Source organism: Homo sapiens, chromosome 14 (assembly GCF_000001405.40).
Source record: "Homo sapiens chromosome 14, GRCh38.p14 Primary Assembly".
Taxonomy (NCBI): domain Eukaryota; kingdom Metazoa; phylum Chordata; class Mammalia; order Primates; family Hominidae; genus Homo; species Homo sapiens.
Window position 1 is genome coordinate 67,796,479 of NC_000014.9, and position 24,905 is coordinate 67,821,383.

Consider the following 24,905-nt stretch of genomic DNA (forward strand, 5'->3'; position numbering starts at 1 on the left):
TACAGGTGTGAGCCACCGTGCCAGGCCGAAGAAAGGATTTTGAATGTTCACAACACAAAGAAATGACAAATGTTTGAGGTGATAGATATTACTCCAATTTGGTCATTACACATTTTATAAACATATTGAAATATCACTGTGTATCCCTTAAATATGTACAATTATTATATGCCAACTAAAAATAAAAGGGAGGCCGGGCCCGGTGACTCACGCCTGTAATTCCAGCACTTTGGGAAGCTGAGGCAGGCAGATCACTTCAGGTCAGGAGTTCAAGATCAGCCTGGCCAACATGGCAAAACCCCGTCTCTACTAAAAATACAAACATTAGCCGGGCATGGTAGCACGCACCTGTAATCCCAGCTACTCAGGAGGCTGAGGCACAAGAATTGCTTGAACCCAGGAGGCAGAGGTTGCATTGAGCTGAGATTGCACCACTGCACTCCAGCCTGGGCAACAGAGTGAGACTCCATCTCAAAAAGAAGAAAAAAGGAAATAAAAATAAAACGGGAAAAATAATAAGACCTACTTCATAGTATTGTGAGGATTAAATAAGTTAACAATTATAAATATAAGGAATGTAGAGCAGCATCTGGCATACAATGAATACTTAATATTAATCCCTATAGAAAAAAAGAAATCCATATTGGTCTACCTTATTTTTAAGGCAACTGGGTAATATCTATATATGATACCCATATAGATCTGACCTAGTAATTCTGCTGCTAGGAGCTTATCCTGTATTTACACAAGTATGCACAGACATGTACAAGGTTTTTTACTACAGCACTGTTTATAATGGTAAACAACTGGAAACTTAAATGTCCATGAACAGGGTGTTTCTGACAATGGAATACTAAGCAGTATTTAAAATGGTAAGTGAAAAAAGTTCTCAATTTATAGTATAATACATCTGTATATATAAAAGGATATAAATGAAAAAAGCAAGCTGCAGTTCTCAATATATAGTATAATGCATGTGTATATATATAAAAGGATATACATGTTTATATTGCATGGAAAATTTCTGAAAGGATACATAGGAAACTATTAACAAGGGTTACCTTGAGGGAGTGGGAATAGGATAATTTTACAACGCTTTTGTTGTTTTTGACCATGTGCTGTTTCTTAAAGAGTATTAGACAAGCAGCATTACACCACTTGCCTAGTGCATGGGAATGAGCTCTTCAGATTACCTGCCTGGCTCCTTCTTGTCCGACGACCCCGGCGGAGACTGGGGTGACGTGTGGCAGGCTGGTATCTTCGGGAAGGTTGCTCCTCTGAAAGAGCAAACCCAATGGGACAGAAAGGAGAGTGATCAACTTTGATTTGGCCCTTTCTTGGCATAACAGGTTGGGGAAGGTTTGCACTGGGCTCTGAGACATGGAGCATACCCCAGTGTTCTGACACTGGTTGCCATGGTGACGATATGCCCTGAGTTATGGGGTGACTCCTATGTACTCCTAGCTCTCTCCCATATTCCTGGGATCTTTCTCCCTCTCCACCTTCTGGTCCCACCAGTTCCACCCTTCTCTCACCTGAACGATGGTTGCTTGTCACCACCTTGTGTCTCCACTGGGCCTCAGAGACAACCTTGGAAAGTCGATGCAGGCGGCTCTGCAGTCCATCTCTGCTTCCTGAGCAGCTCTGACTTTCTTGCTTTGGCTTCTCAGGAGGGCTGCGGCTACTGATCTCATCCAGTTGCTCTTGGAGAAGCCTGAGGAAGGCCCCTATTGCAAATTCATCAGCCAGAAATCCACTGATACCACTAGTAAAGTGTTTTAAGTCCAAAAAGCTGTGCCTATGAGGCCCTGGGTAACTGTCTTTTGGCTCTGCCTTCACATGGCTTGGCATTGTATAAGCAAGGGTCTTTGGGACTCCCAGGGAACCCCGTTCTGACTTCCTTTCAGGATGTGCTATGTGCTGAGGGCTCTCTGATGGGGACCTCAAACCTGAGGGGCTCTTCCCCTCAATGTCATCATCCTCAGCATAGTCCTCAGGCAAGTGAGGCTCTGGGTGAAGATCAGCAGAGGTGATGAGAAGCAATGAGAAGATGTTTTCCAGAAGCTCCAGGCACAGAGAGTCAGGAATACTGCACAGATACTGTTGACACCTGGCCAGGTAAGTTGAGAAGAGATTTGCAGCACCTACAAAAACATGTACAAGAGAAGAGGCCAGAGAAAGAGAAGACAGAGAATGCAAACATTAGAAACATTACCTCCCAGCGTCAAACATTCTCGCAACTTTAGCTCATTTATTTATTTTTTAATTATAAGGGAACTGAGGTTACAGTGAGAAGAATAAGAGACTTAGGATGTCTTTTAATGATTTGCAGAAAGATTTTGCCATTTTAAAAGTACAGCTGGCCGGGTCCCGCCCCGAGGCCAACCGGGCCTCCCCAGCCTTTTGGCCACCAGGCCCCGCCCCCGGGGAGGGCGCTGAGCTCCGCTTGGCGCCTCTGATCTTTATTTCTCGCGCCGCGGTTTCGGTGGGAGGGGCGGGGGTGATTTACGGATACTCTCTGCCCTCAGATCCTGGGAAAAGTCTATTCCGTTCCCAGTGACAAAGAACAGAGAGCAGTGTACGATGAGCAGGGAACAGTGGACGAGGACTCTCCAGTGCTCACCCAAGACCTAGACTAGGAGGCGTACTGGCGGCTACTCTTTAAAAAGATATCTTTAGAGGACATTCAAGCTTTTGAAAAGACATACAAAGGTTCAGAAGAAGAGCTGGCTGATATTAAACAGGCCTATCTGGACTTCAAGGGTGACATGGATCAGATCATGGAGTCTGTGCTTTGCGTGCAGTACACAGAGGAACCCAGGATAAGGAATATTGTTCAGCAAGCTATTGACGCCAGAGCGGTGCAATCCTATAAGGCCTTTGTCAAAGAATCGAAACAAAAGATGAATGCAAGGAAAAGGAGGGCTCAGGAAGAGGCCAAAGAAGCAGAAACGAGCAGAAAGGAGTTGGGGCTTGATGAAGGCGTGGATAGCCTGAAGGCAGCCATTCAGAGCAGACAAAAGGATCGGCAAAAGGAAATGGACAGTTTTCTGGCTCAGATGGAAGCAAAGTACTGCAAGTCTTCCAAAGGAGGAGGGAAAAAATCTGCTCTCAAGAAATAAAAGAAATAATAGAATTTTTCTCTTCAAAGGTCCTTAGGTGTAAATTGATGCCATGGTAGGCAAGGTGCTGGCAAGATTTGAAGGCAAAAGTCAACTCAACTCTTGAGAAAAGGTGTCTTTCCAGCCTGAATTTTTCAGATTGACTAGGCCAAGCAGAATCTCTCAACCTGATCTTAGCATTTCCTAGAAAGCACTTGACATTGTGTGAGGTCTCACCTGAAGGAACTTGGTGGTGACAATTGGGAGGGCGGAGGGAGGCAGTGTCCTTCCTGACAGCACTTGCCTCCATGGATCTTCTGTACACAGAACTCTATCTAGGATGTGGTTCTGTTCATGTTGTTTTCTGTGATGTGCGTTGTCTGTTAGAATAGGCTCTCTACCCAGCTAGAATACCTTCCAAACACTTGCTGGACAGCTATCTTCCACATCCTTCCCATTTTACATTTGGTCTTAATGATCTTGAATAGACCCTGTCTTCATTTTACTCAGCCAGGTTTTGTACTGATGTACAGGTATTAAATTACTTTAAGCATTTTTGTAAGAGTTGTATATGATTAAATAAAAAAAGTAAAACATGATAGTTAAGTTCTGGGGGCTTTGTAAATGATCCCAGTAAAATGTGACCTAGAAAAAATGTGAATGGTGTTTAGGATGAGAGAAAAGGGGAAAACAATAGCCCTGGTCAGCTTTATAATAGACAGCCTGGTTTCCCTAGCATAAAGAGATGTATGTTATAGTCCTGCCACTAATTGCTGAATGTCTTGAGTTGGGCCACTGAGCTTGTCTGAATCTGTTTCCTTTTATAAAAGAGATATTACATCAAAACAAAGAGTGAAATCCAAACTTTTCAAACTGTATGTATTAAATATGTCCAGTTTTTTGGTTAAAAAAAAAATTGCACTGGCTTTGAGAGAAAACACACAGGGTGAGGGAATTGGGCTAAATGACTTCTTAGAGGCCCCTTTCTGACTGTCTAACTTTGAAAGACAAGCCATATTGATCCAGTTGTTATAGTGAACTCATAGTAACGGTTTGTGAGAACAATACATAGATTTTCATTTCTATGTAGATGAGTTGGTATGAGAATATATGGAATGTTTTTAGGGTCTGTTTGAATCTTTGATTTGTAGACTATTAAATATACCATATGCATAAAGTAAGCCTTTAGCTCTAAGGTAAAGTCGACACATTTTCAGTTTGTGGCTACAAATAGGTTAAAAATAGTTTTTAATTGTATTAAAAATATAATTTAATGCAGGTTGTTTGAAGCATCTGTCTTCATATAATGGCATTAGAACACCTTGGTATAATAAAAAGTTACCGTATAAATAAATAAATAAATAAATAAATAAATAAATAAAAGTACAGCTGGCCATGGGCAGTGGCTCATGCCTATAATCCCAGCACTTTGGGAGGCTGAAGTGGGTGCATCACCTGACGTCAGGAGTTCGACACCAGCCTGGCCAACTGGTGAAACACCATCTCTACTAAAATACAAAAATTAGCCAGGCTTGGTGGTGGGAGCCTATAATCCCAGCTACTCAGGTGGCTGAGGCAGGAGAATTGCTTGAACCCAGGAGGCGGAGGTTGCAGTGAGCTGAGATCAAACCACTGCACTCCAGCCTGGGCAACAGAGCAAGACTCTGTCTCAAAGAAAAAAAAAAAAGTACAGCTTACTGAAAACTAAAACTCATTATTTTGTATCTGCTTTGTAAATGTTACATTGTTCCTCATCCCTGATAAGGACTCTATATTTCAGTTCCAGGAATGAAGGTAACATGCAGACCCTTTACTCCTCAATTCTATTTCCACTTATTTTTACACTAAAGATGATCACGCCTACTTAGATCTCTTAAGAAATCCTTAATAGGCAAAAATGACCATGCTAAGAGGTAAAGATCTATTCCAAAGCTAGGAGAGAGGGAAAACTGATCACTAGTCAGTCACAGAAGGCAAGTTAAATTATTAAGAAAAATGAGAGAGGATAGGACCATTAGGTTGGTACTTTTCACACTGTAGGCTGTGACCTATGAAATTGCCTTAGAAGACTACATTTAAAAAGATGAAATAGGAAAGAAAAATAATCAGGAGTGTGCTCTATGAAGTAAGCATTGTTTTTAAAACTTAGTTTATATATCACATATATACACATACATATGTAAACACACAAATTATATACCTAGGTGCAAACTGGAGTAGGATGTAAAATGCTATTCCTACCGTGAAATATAGTTTTTAAAAAAGCGTTTGGAAAACACCATACTAGGTGATCAGACTCTGTTAAAACTTAGGCAATCACTTTCTTTTTCCATGTCCCTTTGATTCAGAGGCTGACAGATGGATGAAACTATCCCTGGGTGAAATAAAACCAAGGCCATCACCCCACTCCCAATCTTGGTGGAAGAGGGTAAACACACAAAGCACCCACTGGCATGTGTTGTTATCAGCTTATCTCACGGATGGAGGGAAGTGCTGTACCTGGGGAGGAGAGAGAGTCATTCGCTGGCTCTGTAGCTGAGGCCAGGTCCTCAGAGAGGCTGTCTTTGCAGTCCTGGCACTGGGAGTGCTGGTGTGAGTTTACACAGAGGGCATAGATGGCATACTTCATGGCACAGAAGCCCTGGTAGAGTGTCAGGTTCTGACACTGGCTCAGGTGCTCAGGGACTGGAGCATCAACTGCATCTGAATTACAAAGAGAAACAGGCTGAACTTGAGAGTTAATTAATTCAGGATGCAAGTATGGGTGAAGCAAAGAGATGCTGTGCCATACTTAGAGGTCCACTTGTAGGTTCTTACCCTCTCTCCTTTCTGTCGGTCTGATCTGTGTCACTTCTAGGGCTTTTCCTCAAGTCAGTATCAACTTTCAGTTCCCTGCACTTCCTTTCCCCCACTCACCTCCCTTCTACATATCTCATGACTTCTACATGGCATTATTGCCCAGGGCCAGGACTTGCACCTGACAGTGAGTGCCTCCTTAAATTTTGCACCTTAAATGTCTCTCTTGCCTCACCCTAGTTGCAGCCTTATTATTGCCTCTTTTTTGCCTTTTTGAAGTGTGCCCCAGTGGGTCCAGGGATCAGACTTAAAATACTGTATTTCTTTGGAAGGCCTGTATACTTGCATGTAAGAGCAGAGTTCGTATTCCTACAGGAAATCTGTTAAACAAGCTGCCTATCTTTCCAGAAAAAAAAAACATGGAATGTAATAACACTGGTTCTCCAATTAGTAGTAGGTCCTTTTGAAAAGTAAAGCAACATCCAGGCTGGGAAACCTCAAATGCCATGTAAGAAAGTTTGTGTCTCTCAAAGTAAGTGTCTCTGTCCTGTGGGGCAGATTGTGACTATACAATGATACGTTTCTTAAGAACAAAAAGAAATGTATACATTCCACAATGTATATATGCATCAACACATCACTTGTATTCCCAAAATAGATACAATTACTATTAGTCAATTAAAAATAGGGTAAAACTATATGGGGTATAGTGATAAGTGCCTGTAGTCCCAACTACTGGGGAGGCTGAGACAGGAGGATCACTTGATCCCAAGAGTTTGAGACTAGCCTGGGCAACATAGCAAGACTCCTTCTCAAAAACAAACAAATGAACAAAAAACCATGGTGAGAATTCATCTGAGAGGGGAGGGAAATAAGATAAAACTTAAAGAAAAAGAGCTTTTTAATGGGGTCTTGAATTTAAGCAAAGATCTTAGGTTAAAAAAAGGCTTTGTTCCCGTTTCAGACAAGTCTTCTTCTTTTTTTGAGATGGAGTCTCCCTCTGTCCCCCAGGCTGGAGTACAGTGGCACCATCTTGGCTGACTGCAACCTCCACCTCCCGGGTTCAAGTGATTCTCCTGCCTCAGCCTCCCGTGTAGCTGGGATTACAGGCGCGCACCACCACACCCGGCTAATTTTTTATATTTTTGGTAGAGACGGGGTTTCACCATGTTGGCCAGGCTGGTCTTGAACTCCTGACCTCAAGCAATCCACCTGCCTCGGCCTCCCAAAGTGCTGGGATTACAGGCGTGAGACACTGCGCCCAGCCCAGGCAAGTCTTTCTTCTAAATCTCCTGATCTGTTATATGGAGTATGAAGTGGACATGGGAGAAAAGGCACAAAACATGCTATCAGAAAGCTTATAAAACATGAAGCCACTCACTAAGAATTTGCATAAACACTGACTAACAATGCTGTGTATTCAGAGGGCAATTTCTAATTCTGTTTCACTGGAATGAGGCTGTAGTAGTGGTTCCTGTGATGGTTCCACAAGGACAAAGAATGCAGGATCATACTCACAGGATTCCCTACACCTCACCAAGGAAGAGGAGGAATGCCCTATATCCCATAAACTGATTAGGACAAACAGTGCTCATTTAGAGGAGACCTCCTCACCACCCTCTTGAAAGATCTCAGCAATCACATCTGGATAAATCTCATGCTGGAAGAAATGTGTAAGAATGTCCTAAGAGGAAATCCTGGCCAGGTCATTCCATCCCAACTCACCAGGCTCTTGCTGGGGGTCCTTGGCTGGCACTTTCTGTAAGAGCTTGAGAACATCTTCCTCCCTGAGGGCTGGAAGGTTTGTAAGGTGATGGAGAGTGTAGAGCACTGAGTGGCTGTCTCCACCGTGTAAATGATACAACAGATCTCTCTTTGGTATGGGGTTGCTGAATGGAAAAGTTGGGAGGATGGAAGAGAGGCAGTTTATATTATTGCTCGAAGAAAGATCAATCTCCATTCCCTCTTGTTCTTCCTCTCTGGACCATAATGCCACAGGCTTCCCTTCCCTACAATCTAAATTTTAGTTGGTTTGGGACTGAGCCTAACATTTATTTACCCTCAGGGAAGTACATCTATCAAACCAGCTCTAGTTGTCTAGAAAGGTCCTAGAAAGGGCCTTTCAGATCAGTAGGGTCTAGAAAGGTCCTACAGACTGAATTTTCTAATTTCTACACCCTCTCCAGCTTCAAATGAACACAAGTTTCTCTGGCTGTACTTTGAGTAAGAGCCCCTTGCTACTTCCCCCTCTGCCTACTCTACTTCAGAAAGTGCTGGTGAAGTGAGTGAAGAACAAGATAGAAACCTAAGTCCAGGCTAAGTTACCAGAGAAACACAGGGCCTCATGCACAGTTCAGTAAGCATTTGTTGAATAAAAGTGTGATCCAGGATAACGTAAGACTAAGAATGTGGATGACATTGTGAGCTGTGTGACTTTGGACAAGTTATTTTATACCTGTGGGCTTCAGTTGCCTGACTTTTATAATGAAGATAATATTGGTATCTACCCATAGGATTATTGTGAGGCTTAATTGAAATCATCCATGTAAAGGGCTTAGAACAATGCCTAGCTTATGGTAAGTGCACTGGAAATGCGAGCTATTGTTCTTTTTGTTACTGTCATCCTAAAATTATCCTCCAGTTATGACCTGATTGTCATGGTGAAGGTAATAATTACTTGTGTTTCTTTCTTGGTTTAATTGTTGGAACAATTTTTAGTAGCTGGTCAACATTGCCAACTCAAAACATTTATGTGGAAAACGCCTTGAAATGGCCACACATGCGGAGCACAGGGTCAGCTGTGCCCTGTGGTGGGCAGGCGCTGACTGCACAGGGCCATACCTGCTCTGCTGTATGCACCACTCCAGGACCTCCAGGTGAGCCCACAACCCATCACAGGCATCCCTGAGGAGCTCATCACAGCCTGGGCCCTATGTTGATATGGGAGAAGAAAGAGATGCTGACTCAGGCACCTGGGGTTACAGATTATGACTGATTTTAGGGCTCTGCATTCAGCCTAAGCCCGAAGCCCCACGTCTCTCACTTCCAGAGCAGCCTGGGATGCTGAGTGAGAGTTACCTGGGTCCTGTGCAGGGTCTGGAGCAGCCTCTTGGCTGACTCTAGGCTCTGGCAGTGTGTCCAGCCCAGGAGTACAAGCAGGCAACTGAGGGGCCTGAATTCTCTATCAAGTAGGCAGCCAAGATTTGGGAAGTCTTCTTCTTTCAACAATGTTAGTGCTGTTACCTGTAAGTCAAAGAAAGCTGTTATAGGCAGCTATGTGGATGAGACAGAATGGGTTCTAGCTTACTGCTCTTTAGAGAAAGAAGTATTTTAGTACAGCAGGGAGATTTCTGACAATAACAGGAGTGGTTGGCTGGGCGTAGTGGCTCATGCCTGTAATCCCAGCACTTTGGGAGGCCAAAGCAGGTGGATCACTTGAGGTCAGGAGTTTGAGACCAGCCTGGCCAACATGGGGAAACCCTATCTCTACTAAAAATAGAAAATTAGCCGGCATGGTGGCACATGCCTGTAATCCCAGCTACTTGGGAGGCTGAGGCAGGAGAATCGCTTGAACCCAGGAGGCAGAGGTTGCAATGAGCCGAGATCGCGCCACTCCACTCCAGCCTGGGTGACGAGGGAAACTCTGTCTCAAAAACAAAAAAATAGAAGTGGTGAATTGAGTAAAATAAATGTTTATGAAAACACTAGACTGTGAGCTCCCTGAAGGCAGAGACTGACTTCTGTTGTAACTCCAGCTCCTATTACAGTACATGGCACAGAGGATGAGATTAATAAATATCTGCTGAATTAAACTGAAGCCCAGTTGCAATCTGGAAGGAAAAGGTTAAAGTAATTAAATTCTCCTGTCAGCTAGGCAACATATTGTTGCCACTGCCTTTTCTTTCTTGCATCCTCCAGAAAGCACATACATATACAACATTTTAGTTTCTGCCAAAGGACCGATGTAAAATGACTGCAACTGTAAGTATGAATGGCACTGATTCTCAGAGTCTCCTTTCCCATGGGACTGTGGGAGGGACAAAACCAAATGACTCAACACTAATTAGACTGCTTTATGGTGGCCAAATGAGTGGGAGAGAAATGAGGAATGAAAAAGTCTGGGGAGAATCCCTGGGTACCTCTGTGATGAACAATTAAGCTTGACTTACCAGAATCTGCTCGAGGAAGTGTTTGTTGTTGCTCAGGCAGTAGAAATAGGCCACTTTCCAAGCCTCGGCTGGGTTGGGATTGGAGAACAGGGCTAGCATTGCCCGCTCAGGATCTAGATGATCCGGTGAGACTGAACATCAAACAAGACGGTTATCAGGAAACCAAGAACTCTTCTTTTCTAAGCTAGAGCCCATTTGAACAACCAAGTGATGTGAGAGTTTGCTCTTTTAAAAACTTAGGCTGGGTTTTCCATACTTTATCTTAGGGTATCTTAAAGAATCTTTACTTCCCTTGGGAGCTTCAGAAAAGCTGTTTCCTGCTATTGCTATTACTTTATTTTTTTTCCTCCCAACACCTCTATCTTACACTAGAAAACCTATACTTTTATTTATTTATTTATTTTGAGATAGGGTCTCACTCTGTCATGCAGGCTGGAATACAGCGGTGCAAACACGGTTCACTGCAGCCTCCACCTCCTGGGCTCAGTGATCTTCCTGCCTCAGCCTTCCTGCCTGTGGTTCAAGTAGCTTGAACCACAGGTGTGTGCCATCACGCCTAGCTAATTTCTAAATTTTTTTTGTAGAGATGGGAACTCACTATGTTGCAGAGGCTTATCTTGAACTCCTAGCCTCACATGATCCTCCTTGCCTTGGCCTCCCAAAGTACTAGGATTACAGGCCTGAGCCACCATGCCAGGCCTGTACTTTTACGAAAGAGCATCGCACCCATTTTTGCTTAGCCTCCCCTATTAGATGTCCTGAGCCACACGGAAGGCAGCAGTCTAGAGCCTCCAGCAAGGCTGGGCATACTGGAATTACTGAAACTAAAGGAGCAGCAGCAAAGGGAACACACCTTTTCCCGAGGCTGTAGCCCTCGGTGGCTTTTCTGTGACCTTCTCTGCATAGGTATGGCCATACAGGGACAGCAGGCCCCGGCTGGCCTTGTGCAGCAGGCAGCTGAGCAGCCGCTCCTCCCGCAGGGGACTCCCCTCGGTCCTGCAGGCCTCTAGTAGTTCCTCACACAGGAGATGCAACTCAACCCCAAGTGGTTCTGCGGGGCAACGCAGAGTCCGCAGGGCTCCATAGATGGCATCGACTACCCCAGGGGGCACCGAATCAGGGCCCTGCAAAGCCCGCAATGCCTTTCGAATGAGGTCCACCAGTGCATTCTGCAGAGGCCAGTGACAGAGGCCAGTACCGTCATCCTCCTCAAGCAGGAGCTCCAGCAGGGCCTGTGCTGGCTGGGGAGACTGCCTCAGGAGATCCCAGAGCACAGAGACAGCTTCGGAGCTGAGACGAGGAGTCCAGCTCTCCCTCCTTGGATTTCCGTCAGGCACGTGGCCTACTGCACCCTGTGTTAAGGTCTCATACAGCTCCTAAATAGAGGATGAAGAAAAGGATGGGTGGTGGGCATGCCTGGAATGGTATCACTTGTGTGCCTTCATGCTTTCCTCTTTTTCAGTTTACTTATATAATAGTGGCGGTAACAAATACTTATGTCGTAGTTACTATGTGTTAGACATTGTTCTAAGGCCCTTTACACAGAAAAATCAAATTAATCCTTACAATAGTCTTCAGAGGAAGACACTACTATTACTCCTATTTTATAAATGAGGAGTTGGAGGCTGGAAGAGATGAACTCAATTGCCCAGGGCCTCCATGCTCCAGCTAGTCCCACCTCACTGCCTCCAAAATGTGTACTGGTGATGTGAATCAAGGTCTGCCAACTCACAGACCAGGTAAGACATTATGCCCATCTAAAGGCATTTACATTCAATTTTTAAAAGAATGTCAGTTTTTAACCCTTGATCTAAATCCCAGCCATGCTTTCAGTCCATTCTTTATCCTACTACAAAAACCTTCTCCAATACCTCCAACCCATACAACTTCAATGTACTTAAAATTAGTACCATATGATTTAATACATAATAGTGTGTGTTTTAGTCCTTCTTCCTCAGTCACCTAAAAGCAAGAACCTCTAGAGCCTATCCTCTGTTTGCAGGGTGAGGGTACAGGGAGAGAAGGGGGTGAGAAGTAGGTTATTTCCCATACTTAAGCATCATGCCTATAGATGGTACTCGATGATGCCACTTCATTAACTGCCTCAGAGATGGACTGCAAGACCATGAGTCCTTTACCTAATACAAGTGAAAGTCCCTCTCTTAAATCCTACTGTAAATATGTCTTTAATTAACTGGTGTCAGGGTCATTAAAAAAATAAGTATTGGGCCTCAGAGCATATCTCAGGCACTAAAGTAGTAACTGATACATGCTATAACGATATAATTAAGACTTAATTTGAATCTACCCCCAGAAGGTTGTTATGAGAATTAACTCTAACACATTCAGTGACCCTGTTATAGAAAAGATAGTCAACGAATACTAGTTCCTTGTCCCCTTCATATTCCCTGCTATCTACTAATAAATCTTTAATTCCCAGTTATACTTGGTACTTCTGGACAACCACATCAAAAATTCTAAAATCATATAAGTTTACCCTAACTCTAAACTCTCCTCAAAGGAGCTTCTGTGTTGCCTTGCCTGAGAACAAAGTATGGGCAACATCTTGGAGACCTCTCTCTTCTGGGTCCATGGAAGCTAAGCTGCTTAAGTGACTGTCAACCCTGGGCAGATGGTACCAGGGCTCTCTCTCACCTCGAGGATGTTCTCTGGAATGTCACCTTGGAGGTCTTCTGACAATAAAAGAAACTCAAGCTTTCTCCGGAAAACAACTGGGAGTAACTTCTAGAAGAATCAAAAGAATGAAGCATAGAGATGAGATATATGTTTTAGTTAACAAATTATAATTAAATATTTCTGTCCAGTTAGTCTTATTTCTGCTATTTCTCTAAGATGAAGCACTCTTTTTTTTTTTTTTTTTTTTTTTTTTTATTTTGAGACAGAGTCTTGCTCTGTTCCCCAGGCTGGAGTACCGTGGCATGATTTTAGCTTACCGCAACCTCCACCTCCCAGCTTCAAGCGATTCTCAGGCCTCAGCCTCCCGAGTAGCTGGGATTACAGGTGCGCACCACCACGTCCAGCTAATTTTTATATTTTTATTAGAGACAGGGTGTCACCATTTGGCCAAGCTGGTCTGGAACTCCTGACCTCAAGTGTTCCACTCACCTCGGCCTCCCAAAGTGCTGGGATTACAGATGTGAGCTACCACGCCTGGCCTAAGATAAAGTACTTTTAAACACAACATTCCTGGATATGTTTTCAGTACTATTCTTTTCTCTTTTTTTTTTTTTTTTTTTTGAGATAGAGTCTCGCTCTGTTGCCCAGGCTGGAGTGTAGTGGCGCAATCTCAGCTCATTGCAACCTCCGCCTCCTGGGTTCAAGCGATTCTCCTGCCTCAGGCTCCCGAGAAGCTGGGACTATAGGCGTGTGCCACCACTTCTGGCTAATTTTGTGTATTTGTAGTAGAGATGGGGTTTCACCGTGTTAGCCAGGATGGTCTTGATCTCCTGACCTCGTGATCCGCCTGCCTCGGCCTTCCAAAGTGCTGGGATTACAGGCGTGAGCCACCGTGCCTGGCACAGATACTATTCTTTATAAACAAAAATAGCTAAACTTGGACATACACTTCTCTTAAAAACTAATACTTAAAGCCCACACTGATCAGCCGTAAGTTCCAAGGTTTGTTCATTTCATTAACCTTTTTTGTCACTTGAGGTCTTTCCCCAAGAATCTCTCTTGTTGTGTTCAAAACACCCAGTTGTGGGTAAGCCTGGGAGGGTATGGCCCACATGATCCTCTTTTGGTCCAAACCTCTGTTTTTGTCATTCACTATCCTTTGCATAGCAGTGAAAGAAGAACAGTATAAGGGGAGAAATCCAATGTTTATTAAACACTTATTATATGCCAGTACCTCACAGGTACTGTGTGCCATATTTTATTCTTAATACACTTAATTTCCAAATCAAACAAAACTGTGGCACATATTTATATATTTTTTACAAATAATCTTTACTAGAGGTAAAATGGTTAGGAAGCATTTTTCCCAATTTTTTCAAACAAAAAGGAAAAGGTGATCCCAGTGTTTGTTAATGAGATGTGCCATCAGAGAGGTCTAATATATAGAGACAAAGGCTCTGACTCTTCCTGCGCCTGCTTGTTTCACAATAACTTACCTTCACCTGGTCCCTAACACACAAATTGGAGTCTCCCCTTTTCCAGACACAAATAAAAATAGCAAGAGTCTGAGACTTATCCTGACAAACACTACCTTAAATATGAGACATCTGTCAATCTTGCCTCTGGTTAAAGCTTCCCAAAGATAAGTTTTATTGGAAGGCAAGGAACACCTGCAGGGATGTGTGTGTGTGAGAGTGTGTGTGTGTGTACAGCTGCAGGTGTGTGTGTGTACATGAGTGAGGAGAGTTTAGAGCACAAGACCTAACTATCTCCATTCATGTACCATTCACCACATCAGAGGCTAACATGATCTAATGTGTTCTTGGTCCAAAATCTTATTTCTTCTAACCATGTACTTCCCTAATATGTGCATCAAGGCCATGTGAATGCTTGTATAATGCCTGTGATTGGAAGCTGGTGGATAAAATTCATGCTGGGAAGCTGAGGATTAGTGCTTCTATTGAAGACTAACAGAAAAGAATAGATAAGATGTCTAGGACAGCAGATCCTTAATAGCCTGGCTAAGATTTTATTTAGAATCCTAAAGACTGAGTAGATTATACTTATTTTACTGCTGAAACTACTTTAAACATATTCAGGATCATAATTGACTAACATTTATCTTCCTAAAATAGGCAAGAATTTGCTCAGCATTTCTAAGCAAGGATGTCATGCAAAAGTGGAACCAAAGACAAAATTAATTCTGGTGACCGAGAGGAGCAAAAATTTAAAAAACTGGCAAAATTATAGACATCTTAAAAGTAGAATTTGTGGTTTCTTAGTTTTAAGTCCATCTGGGCTAAAAAAGTAGTGTTAAGGCAGAAAAAGCAGAGGATTGAGGTCAGAAGATTTTGGTTTCAGCAGCAGTTCTGTCAAATAACTTTACGGTTACAAGAGCAAGGCATGTTCAATGTAGAAAAATTGAATATACAAATAAGTAAACTAAAATATGTTATATATATATAAAACATATGTATGTCCAGTTAGTCTTATTTCTGCTATTTCTCTAAGATAAAGTGTTTTATCCTAGAGAGAGATATGTAACATATATGTTATATTTTAGTGCAATATAATATATATAACATATGTTAGTTTGCTTATTTGTATATTTAATTTTGTAATTTTACAAATTTAATTGGTGTATTTAGTTACATATGAAATATATAATATATAACATATATGAAATTTATGATATATAACAAATATAAAATATATGATATATAACATGTATTATATATGAAATATATATCACATATGAAATATATTACATATAACATATTATATATGAAATATATATTTTATATATATTCTCACTGAAGGAGAACAATTATGAAAACTGTGGTCTAAGGCCATTCATTCAGACCATTTGCTATGCACATCTCTATGCATGTATACCAAATGTACTTTTTTCTAAACTGCCTTTTTTCCCATACAGCAGACCATGAACACTCTATGTTAGTGAAAACTCATTTGCCAAATACTTTTGAATAGTGGTATAGTATTTTACATATAGATATATTTCCATTTATTAACCTGTCCTATACTATGGACATGGGAGTTGTTTCAGTTTTCTTCTAATAGAAGTAGCATAGACGTGAACATTTCTGCAGCTAAATCTTTGTATAATTGCTTACACATGGAGAGATACATCTCTGCAAGATTAAAAGGCAGAAGGCAAAAATGAATGGAGGAAAGGGAAAATAGAATCACTATTTCATCTAATAATTAAAAGGGAAGCTTTTGGCAAAAGGTGGGAACCTGGAAAAGGACAGGCAGCCAGTAAATTCCTAGATGATGAAGGCACCTTCAGGATAATGACTGGACTTGGAAAACTACCCCAAGAATTCACTGGACGCCATGGTGCTTATATAGTTTTAAAATTCTATGAGGAACTAAAATAGTCCCACAACTGTTTAAATAAGCAAGTCATTGAAGCTTTAAAGACCAAATAATCTATTTGTGAACCTGGGAAAAACAAGAACGGGAAGTGGAATCCATCTCCTGACATAGTTGAGCAACTGTCTAGAAAATAAGCAACCATTCAGATATAAAGTAAGCAAATAGTCTCTACTGAGGGGAAAGTTAATTTGATTTGACAAATTCCATGTTTGTACTAGAGAGATCCCTTAATCAGTAACAATAGTTCTTTTTCTCTTTGAAGATACTATAGTAACTATAGGTTACTATTTTAGTTCAAGTTTTCTCTTTTAAATCTGAAACCATAGCCAACTCTTAATGATGCTGGGTTTCATTATGTTTCAATCTTGTTTTTCTTTCTTCTCGCTCCTACTAGTCTTTCTGTCATTTTTCTTTCCTAAACAACTGGCTAAATCCTGGATAAGAGATACATTCAGATTAGCAATTTCTGTTACTTTTTGACAGCTCTGTGAGGAACGATAAATATCATGCAAAAGTGGAACCAAAGACAAAATTAATTCTGGTGACCGAGAGGAGCAAAAATTTAAAAAACTGGCGAAATTACAGACATTTTAAAAGTAGAATTTGTGGTTTCTTAAAGTCCATCTGGGCTAAAAAAGTAGTGTTAAGGTGGAAAAAGCAGAGGATTGAGGTCAGAAGATCTTGGTTTCAGCACCAGCTCTGTCAAATAACTTTACGGTGTGTCCTTGGGCCAGTCATTTCTAAGTTAGAGGTTCTTCACTTAAATCTCAAAGTCTGAAGTTCAATATGAAAATGTCTCAGAGTAATTCTTTTATAAGATATAAATTTCTGATAATTAACATACTTCTAAAAGGACTTTTAATGGAAGTTTATCTTTAAAAAAGGTAATTCCTTACCAGGTTTTTTTTTTCAATATTAATTTGCTTACTTGTTTTTATATCTGGTAATTTTCTGTTCAATTCATGTGAATTATTAAACTATGAATTAATGGAATTTGAATCTATGAGATGTCATGGAATTAGGCTAGTTAAAATATGATTTTTGGAAGAAAAACCAAGTTTCAGCTCAGCCCATTCTCTATTACTTAAATGTTGAATAGATCCAAATGTTACAGATTCATATTTTATTTGCTATTTTGTTACCTTCACTGAGTTTCCAAAAGTTCTCTTTAGGCACAAGACTCATGGTGGTATTTAACAAACAGTAATATATGCCAATGTATATTAGTGCATTAATGAATGAATTTAGGTAAGGAGACAGCAATAAAAATTTAAGCCATTCTTTGAGAATGAGTATGATGAATTTAATGATAAAGGAAGTAACAGACAGAAGGGAAATCCCACAACTACTTTCAAGTTCTTCTCAGTCCTGGCCTCGGAGGAAAATTTAATATAAACCTACTTACCTTTTCCCGGGCCAACCATTTCTCCAGTACAAGAAGCCAGACCCAGGCTACTCTTTGAGGGTTGATGTCCTGCCCACATCTGAAAAAGGTAAAAAGAAAGACTTGTAAAAAAGAGTTTCTACTGATCTTTCATCTTTTGTCATCCAAGACAGATTTCATTGCTTATTCTGTTTTAAACCTGAACAGGCAAGACACTGCCCTAATGAGATATTTTTAAATGTATATGACAGTTCAGTAAAACATTGGAACCAGGCCAGGCAAGGTGGCTCACACCGGTAATCTCAGCACTTTGGGAGGCTGAGGTGGGTGGATCACCTGTGGTCACGAGTTCGAGACCAACCTGGCCAACATAATGAAACCCCATCTCTACTAAAAATACAAAAATTAGCCAAGTGCGGTGGCAGGCGCCTGTAGTCCCAGCTACTCGGGAGGCTGAGGCAGGAGAATCGCTTGAACCTGGGAGGCGGAGGTTGCAGTGAGCCTAGATCATGCCACTGCACTCCAGCCTGGGTGACAGAGCAAGACTCTGTCTCCAAAACAAACAAACAAACAAACAAACAAACAAACAAATCAGAACCAGAACAGAGCTAGCAGCTTTCATAAAAAGCCTTAATCTCACCTCCACCTCCTTATCTTAGTTTAAAATAAAATAATATTCGAGAAAACCATAATAGCTAATACTATCTGAAGCATATTTTTAATACAGAAAGTGAATCAGACAGTCTTAAAAAAGGAACTTCATACAAATTTATTTTTAACTATATGCTAAAAACAGGACTTTAGGAATTCATAAGCCTTTCTTTGAAGTTAGGAATTTAGACGGTAACTGGCTAGATCTCAAATTAAAGGAGAAAAAGAAAAGGAAGGGATCACTTAAGTTTCTCCATCGTATATGTGCTAATACAATATGTAAACAGTATAGCATAACAGTCAAAGGAAGGAAAACCCAAGGAAAGACTTAAAACGGTACATTTGACTCCTACATCACCAGTGGTTACTAGCATCACCAGGAGGAACTTCATTGAAAATCAAGGATGGAGAACTGTGGTTGCCAGGGAACAAGGAGGGGTTGTTGTATAAATACAAAGAGGTAGCACCAAGGAGTGAGGGAATTCTTTTGTGGTAATGGAACAGTTCTGATCCTTATTACAGTGGGATTACATGAATCTATATATGGATAAAACTGCATAAAACTACAAATGAAAAAATGAAGGCAGATTAAGAAAATGCTGAAAACCAAATAAACTCTGTAGTGTCATTTAAAGTAATGTGCCAATGTCAATTTCATGGTTTTGATATTGTACTACAGCTGTATGAGACGTCGCAATTGGGGCAGACTGGGAAAAGGATACGCTGGACTCCATTATTTTTGCAGCTTCTTGTGAGACTGCAATTATTTCGAAATAAAAAGTTTTAAGTAAAGCGACAACAATATTTTCAATCTCATAAGCAAGAAGAGAGCAGGGTTTGCTTTTTTGGAGGCAAAGAAAATAGTTTTCAATGCAGTTCCACCATCTATATTAACGAGGATAAACAAGAAATGGCAGTTTCAGGCACACTTTGGCAGCCAGGCTTACATTCAGTTGCAGATGATAATCAAAAGCCAATATTGACTAAGTAATGGATGTATACTATAGAGGTAAAATTTCAGAGCACGTGAAATACACTGTGCCTCTGCTTATTCTTCAGAGGGTAGTTGAGTGGGGGCACATTGACCAATGCCCAAATATTGAACCACATGTCTCTCACCCTGGGACCGTCTGGTAGGAAAAGAGATCCCTTACCTCAGCAGATTTGGACACACCACCAATGCCTGAAGTATGTCTTCTACCCTCTTTGGGATATCCCCTTGTCCCTCCTGTAGCTGAGGTACACATGCCTGTGCCAGCTCCCATTCTCCCCTCCGCAGGCATTCGCAGAAAAATCCAAAAAGCTGCTTCTGCGAAGCAGCTTCCTCTTTTCCAAATGGATGATTCATTTTCCCAGCACAGAGTGCAGGGAGATACAAAGAAATGAGTTATGCCGAACACATTCTCAATGTTCTCATTCGCGGAGTACCTCCTAGAAACAACACAACGCCAGTGAGAAGAAACAGAAGGCACTGTATTAAGACAAAGCAGCAACTACTGGTCCGCCTGGGAAAGGCGGGACTTGCTTGCCTAAGTATCGTTTTCAGTTTAATTTCCCACGTTACTTTTTGAAAACACTTTCTTCAAGGGGTGGATCCCATCTCTTCACGCGGATTCCTATATTTAATAATATTAATAGTCATATTTGCTCCGGGCGCAGACCCATAACTCTACGTCCGTATTCCCTACTGAACGTTATGCCCAGTCTTGACTCCAAATCCCCAGGTGGTCGCCTCCTCAAGAATGAGAAATTCAGCAGGAACCTCCCTAGTTTGAGCCCTCTGTTAAGGCAGAGGATTGACGACCAGGAGACGAATCTGTGTCATAAGTGGAAAGCAGTGTGGGGGTGGGCCGCAGGGACGCTCTCTGCGGGGGTCGTGGAGAGGGGCCCCTCCCTCTCAGGGGTGTCTTACACTCACCTGCTCCCGGCGCCCAAAGCAATAGAGCTCTCAGCGCAGCCATGTTTGAGCCGAGTCAGGTGACAGAACCCACTCCGAACAGCGGTGGTGGGGGTGGTGACAAAGACTGAAAGCCCCACTCCTATTGGCTCAAGGCAGGGAAGATGAAAATTAAGTGCCATATTTGTTTGAGTCACGTGACGCCACCTCTCCGGGAGTAGGGAAAGCTAGAAAGCTCGGAAAGAGGAAATCAGCTACCTGGCTGCGGACCATCTCCCTCAATTGTGACAGCTCCGGCGCTCAATACTTTCAGTTCTGCATTCGGCCGAGCAGGTGGCAGGAAGAACTGTGACCCTGGATTTTTTTTTTTCTTCCACTCTCTTATCTCCTTAACATGTGAAGTCAACATTTATTGAACGCCAACCAGTGATGGTGTTTTGCCAGGCGCGGGGGATACCCGGAGCTAGGAGAACTGGGTTCTCCTCCATTATTATTCTATCTACTGGGCTCTTTTGTTCCGGAACTCTGCGGTCTGAATTTCCATATTCTTCTGCTTCACTCCATTCATTTATTTGCACATTTACCCTACAACTGTTAATTGAACGGTGTGCTAGGCTTTATTTTATTTTTTTAGAGACAGAGTCTCTCTGTCGCTGGAGTGCGGTGGTGTGATCTCGGCTCATGGCAGCCTCGAACTTCCTGGATCAAGTAATCCTTAAGCCTCAGCCTTCCTGTAGTAGCTGGGACTAGAGGCGCGCGCCACTACACCGGGCTTAGGCCCTATTCTCTAAGTTGAGTAAATGGAGGTCCTTCTTCTCAAGGGAGATGCAGGCCAAAAATTAGGAGACGGTGGGCTAAATTATAAGACAGAAGTATGCATAAGAGATCAGAGAGCAAAGAATGAGCAAAGGCTTTTTCGCAAACACAATAATCTGAAACCAAGTCTTTTGTTTTGAGACAGAGTCTCGCTCTGTCTCCCAGGCTGGAGTGCAATGGCGCGATCTCGGCTCGCTGCAACCTCCGTCTCCCGGGTTTAAGCGATTCTCCTGCCTCAGCCTCACTGTGTAGCTGGGATAAGCGATTCTTCTGCCTCAGCCTCACTGAGTAGCTGGGATTTACAGGCGCGCGCCACCACACCCGGCTAATTTTTGTATTTTTAATAGAGACAGGGGTTCACCATGTTGGCCAGGCTGGTCTCGAACTCCTGACCTCAGGCAATCCGCCCACCTCGGCCTCCCAAAGTTCTGGGATTACGGGCGTGAGCCACCGTTCCCAGCCTGAAACCAACTCTTGAAGTAACGGCTTACTAGGTTTGCTCACCACAGCTGCCTTACACCAAGCCTTTTGTTTGGTTTCCCTGGTGTGCTTTAATCACAGACTCTCAGCTTTCCTCACTATGTGTGTTTCAGGTTTAGTAATTTCATTCAGCATTTCCCAAACTATTTAATCACCAAAGGGTGGTGAAAAGAGCAAGTTAAAACAAACAAAACGTTTTCTTCCAAAAACTCTTCTGTGATTGGTGGATTGTCCTCGATTCCTGAGAAAAGTAACATGGCTTTCTGGCCCATTAAGGTTTTTTTTTTTTTTGAGGCAATGTCTGGCTCCTCTCACCTCAGCCTCCCAAGTAGCTGGGATCACAGGTGCCTGCCACCATGTCTGGCTAATTTTTGTATGTTTAGTAGAGGCGGGGTTTCGCCATGTTGGCCAGGCTGGTTTCGAAATCCTGAGCTCAAGTGATCTGCCTGCCTCAGCATTCCGAAGTGAAACCGCCTTTGCAAAATTATAACTGAGGAAATTATGACAGTGAAAGAAATCAGACCTAACCGACTCTATCTTGCTTCTAACCGTTAAGCTGTCCTTGTTCATTCCTGGGCGTAGGCTGAACTAACTTTGGGGAGGAATTCAGTTCATGGTTTGACTCTGAAACAAAATTGATAACAGCCCTTTCCGAAAAGACCCACTTCTTGCCTGGGGACCAGTCTGCCTTTGCAGGACTAACAAATTAGCTACAAGTTTAGAAATTACAGTTTAGAGGTCATGCAGCCTCTGGCTCCAAGAGTCTGAACCTCCCCAAATTGCTCCCGGGGGTGACATCACTATTGCAAGCCCTAAGATCAGTGCTTGAGATATTTTGTAGACCCTGCACTCCATGGATCAGCTGACACCACTCAGACCAGTAATTTGGCGCAACCAGTTTTGCCATCACACCCAGGAACAGAAGACATTAAGAAAACCTCACTTCGACCCCTTATGATTCCATCTCCAACCTGACCAATCAGCACTCCCCACTTCCTAAGCCCCTACCAGCCAAATTATTGGTAAAAACTCCGATCCGCAAATGCTCGGGACAACTGATTTAAGTAACAATAAAACTTCAGTCTTCCGCACAGCTGGCTCTGCGTGAATTACTCTTTCTGCATTGCAATTCCCCTGTCCTGATAAATCGGTTCTGTCTAGGCAGCTGGTAAGGTGAACCCATCGGGCAGTTTCAAAAGTGCTGGGATTACAGGCATGAGCCACCGCGCCCAGCCTATTTTTTGTATTTTTTTGTAGAGGCGGAGGGGTGGGGGAGGGTGTCTCACTATGTTGCCAAGGCTAGTCTCGAACTCCCAGGCTCAAGTGATCCTCCCGCCTCGGTCTCCCAAAGTGCTGAAATTACGGGCGTGAGCCACTGCGTCTGGCCCCTTTAAGCCATTGTGAAAAGTGATGATACACGAAAAAAAAGATTTCCAGGGCCGAGAGCGGTGGATCACGCCTGTAATCCCAGCGCTTTGGGAGGCCGAAGCGGGCGGATCACGAGGTCAGGAAATCGAGACCATCCTGGCTAACACGGTGAAACCCCGTCTCTACTAAAAATACAAAAAAATTAGCCGGGCGTGGTGGTGGGAGCCTGTAGTCCCAGCTACTAGGGAGGTTGAGGCAGGAGAATGGCGTGAACCCAGGAGGCGGAGCTTGCAGTGAGCCGAGATCGCGCCACTGCACTCCAGCCTGGGCGACAGAGCGAGACCCCGTCTCAAAAAAAAAAAAAAAGAAAGAAAAAAGAAAAATTTCCAAACAGGGTGTTCCCTTGTTTCACATTCTCTTTGGTGATGGTCCTGCAACAGATTTTGATAATCACTATATTGAGAAACTGCTTCAGATTCGATCTGTTAGGCTGATCATAGTATTAACTACAATTCCCAGCAAGCCGCGGAGCCAACCTGGGCCTCTGCCGGCCTCTGATTGGATACAGTAGCCAGAATGACGACTCAATCAGTGCTTCGGTTGTTGCTTTGCGGCGTTTTCCGCGGGGAAACTGTGTAAAGGGTGGGGAAACTTGAAAGTTGGATGCTGCAGACCCGGTACTGGAAAGTTTCATGTGGGGTGCCGTTGTGGGGAAGTGGGGTTCGCTCATTATTTCCTGCTCCTTCCCTAGGCTCGTGGGTTTCGATATTGGGGGAGCGGAGATTTTCTCTTGGGTGCTGGTCACGCCCCCTTAAGACTCGGGATCGTCACTAAGAACCCCGCTGTGAATTGGGGGAGCTTCGGGCCTTCTTTTGGTGGGGAATGCTTGGAAGCTGCTCATTGTTGGAAAAAGCTCTTTTTAGGGGATTCTGGGTGATGTTTCCGCCTGTTGCTGCCCATCTTCCTCCCCAGCCCCTTCCCGCTTCGGGCAGCCTGTCATTAGGGGAAGTTGAGGGACTCTCCCACTTCAGGTGGTGTTGGAGAGCGTGGAATCTGGAGTCCGGTCCCTGGATTCGAATGCGAGCTTCACACCAATTGTCAGCTGTTTAACTTTGCCCAAGTTTCTCAACTAGTTACCTCAGTATCCTTATCTGTAAAGTGAGGTAAAATATCCGAAGCCTTTGGAACAGTGTGGCACGTAATAAGGGCTCAATAAATATTAGCTAATATTGTTCCTAAACAGTTGTTGAACATCTAACATGAAGAATTTTCTTTTCTTGGTGGTAAGGAGGACAGGGTTCATTCTCCAGGGTTGACCGTCTCCCCTCATGTGCAATACACATACGTGCTTTCGCGCACACATACACCGCAGGAATTTACGTGCTCCGGTGGGGGCAAACAAACTTGCAAGCCATAATAGTATTTTGATAAGATTATCGAATAGATATGTGCGAAGTTGATGAGAACATTGGAGAGGAAAAGACTTGACTCTGGGGAAGGTTTTGTGGAGGGAAGTCAGGGAGACAGGATGCGTGACCTACCAATACACATACCATGTGGCTGGAGGGCAGATCATGTGAGAGTCATTAAATGATGATTGCTGACCTTAAGTACTATGTGCCACGCACTCCCCGAGTCCTTTAACCTCCACTACAGTCATATGAAGTAGTAAATTCATATGACTGTAAAACAAGGGTTTTAAGGAAATTAAGACACTGAGAGGTGAAGTAACTGCCAGGAAGGATAGGAACTGAACGTTGCAATGTGATGTATGAGTGAGAAGGAAGTGAGGGACCAATTTTTGATGTTTTTCTCTGCGACCCTAAGAAGTTTGGAATTTATCCTGTGGTCTACCAGTCCCATGGGAAGTGTTAAAGGATAATCGTGACTTTTTAGGAAGCTACTCAAGGCAGGATTGTGACACTGATCTGACTTTTGCAGGCGAATTTGGGGCTTCTTCCTGTCTGCTTCCATAGCACTTTTAAATAGCAATTGTAATGCTTACTGCATGGCTGTAGTTATTTGTGTGTACCTCTCTTTTCATCTCAACTATGAGTATTCAAAGGGGAGGGAATATGCTTAAATGATTCTTGTACCCCAGACCTCAGCAGGGTGTGTATTTAAATGCCTGTGGAAGGAGTAAATTAAGGAACAAATGAATGGAGTGGCCAGAAACAATATGCAATAGTCCAGGCAAGTGATGGGAG

The 24,905-nt window shown here is 42.9% G+C and overlaps 2 protein-coding genes and 1 pseudogene across 13 annotated transcripts in view, besides 4 other annotated features; 2 read left to right on the forward strand and 1 right to left on the reverse strand.

Annotated features, from left to right (window-relative positions):
• The window catches only part of ZFYVE26 (zinc finger FYVE-type containing 26), an 87,699-nt gene extending 67,587 nt beyond the window's left edge, over positions 1–20,112 (reverse strand). For all 3 annotated transcript variants that reach the window (XM_047431173.1, NM_015346.4, XM_011536609.3), the window contains exons 1-12: positions 20,056–20,112; positions 19,292–19,568; positions 17,508–17,586; positions 12,722–12,811; positions 10,920–11,442; positions 10,067–10,197; positions 8,976–9,140; positions 8,739–8,827; positions 7,623–7,786; positions 5,601–5,804; positions 1,536–2,144; positions 1,194–1,277 (exon numbers count right to left, since the gene is read on the reverse strand). In XM_047431173.1, coding sequence (XP_047287129.1) covers positions 1,194–1,277; positions 1,536–2,144; positions 5,601–5,804; positions 7,623–7,786; positions 8,739–8,827; positions 8,976–9,140; positions 10,067–10,197; positions 10,920–11,442; positions 12,722–12,811; positions 17,508–17,586; positions 19,292–19,485 — 2,332 coding nt within the window. In that variant the 5' untranslated portion in view covers positions 19,486–19,568; positions 20,056–20,112. The remainder of the gene's footprint in view (positions 1–1,193; positions 1,278–1,535; positions 2,145–5,600; positions 5,805–7,622; positions 7,787–8,738; positions 8,828–8,975; positions 9,141–10,066; positions 10,198–10,919; positions 11,443–12,721; positions 12,812–17,507; positions 17,587–19,291; positions 19,569–20,055) is intronic.
• LOC100421541 (DnaJ heat shock protein family (Hsp40) member C9 pseudogene) lies at positions 2,526–3,328 on the forward strand (annotated as a pseudogene).
• Positions 20,324–20,493: an enhancer, noted in NCBI's record as "active region_8586". NCBI's record gives its function as "activates an Ori minimal core promoter by ATAC-STARR-seq in GM12878 lymphoblastoid cells {active_cell/tissue: GM12878}" and the evidence as "EXISTENCE:reporter gene assay evidence [ECO:0000049][PMID:35858748]".
• Positions 20,544–20,643: an enhancer, noted in NCBI's record as "active region_8587". NCBI's record gives its function as "activates an Ori minimal core promoter by ATAC-STARR-seq in GM12878 lymphoblastoid cells {active_cell/tissue: GM12878}" and the evidence as "EXISTENCE:reporter gene assay evidence [ECO:0000049][PMID:35858748]".
• Positions 23,134–23,428: an enhancer, noted in NCBI's record as "tiled region #13811; HepG2 Activating DNase unmatched - State 1:Tss, and K562 Activating DNase unmatched - State 1:Tss". NCBI's record gives its function as "activates a minimal TATA promoter and a strong SV40 promoter by Sharpr-MPRA in HepG2 and K562 cells {active_cell/tissue: HepG2 | K562}" and the evidence as "EXISTENCE:reporter gene assay evidence [ECO:0000049][PMID:27701403]".
• RAD51B (RAD51 paralog B) overlaps positions 23,301–24,905 on the forward strand; it is an 863,318-nt gene continuing 861,713 nt past the window's right edge. For all 10 annotated transcript variants that reach the window (NM_001321818.2, NM_001321809.2, NM_001321821.2 and 7 more), the window contains exon 1: positions 23,301–23,375. The gene's annotated coding sequence lies outside the window, so the exon portion shown is untranslated. The remainder of the gene's footprint in view (positions 23,376–24,905) is intronic.
• Positions 23,688–24,449: an enhancer, noted in NCBI's record as "NANOG-H3K27ac hESC enhancer chr14:68286883-68287644 (GRCh37/hg19 assembly coordinates)". NCBI's record gives its function as "activates a minimal SCP1, AML or CMV promoter by ChIP-STARR-seq in naive H9 embryonic stem cells {active_cell/tissue: H9 hESC(naive)}" and the evidence as "EXISTENCE:reporter gene assay evidence [ECO:0000049][PMID:30033119]".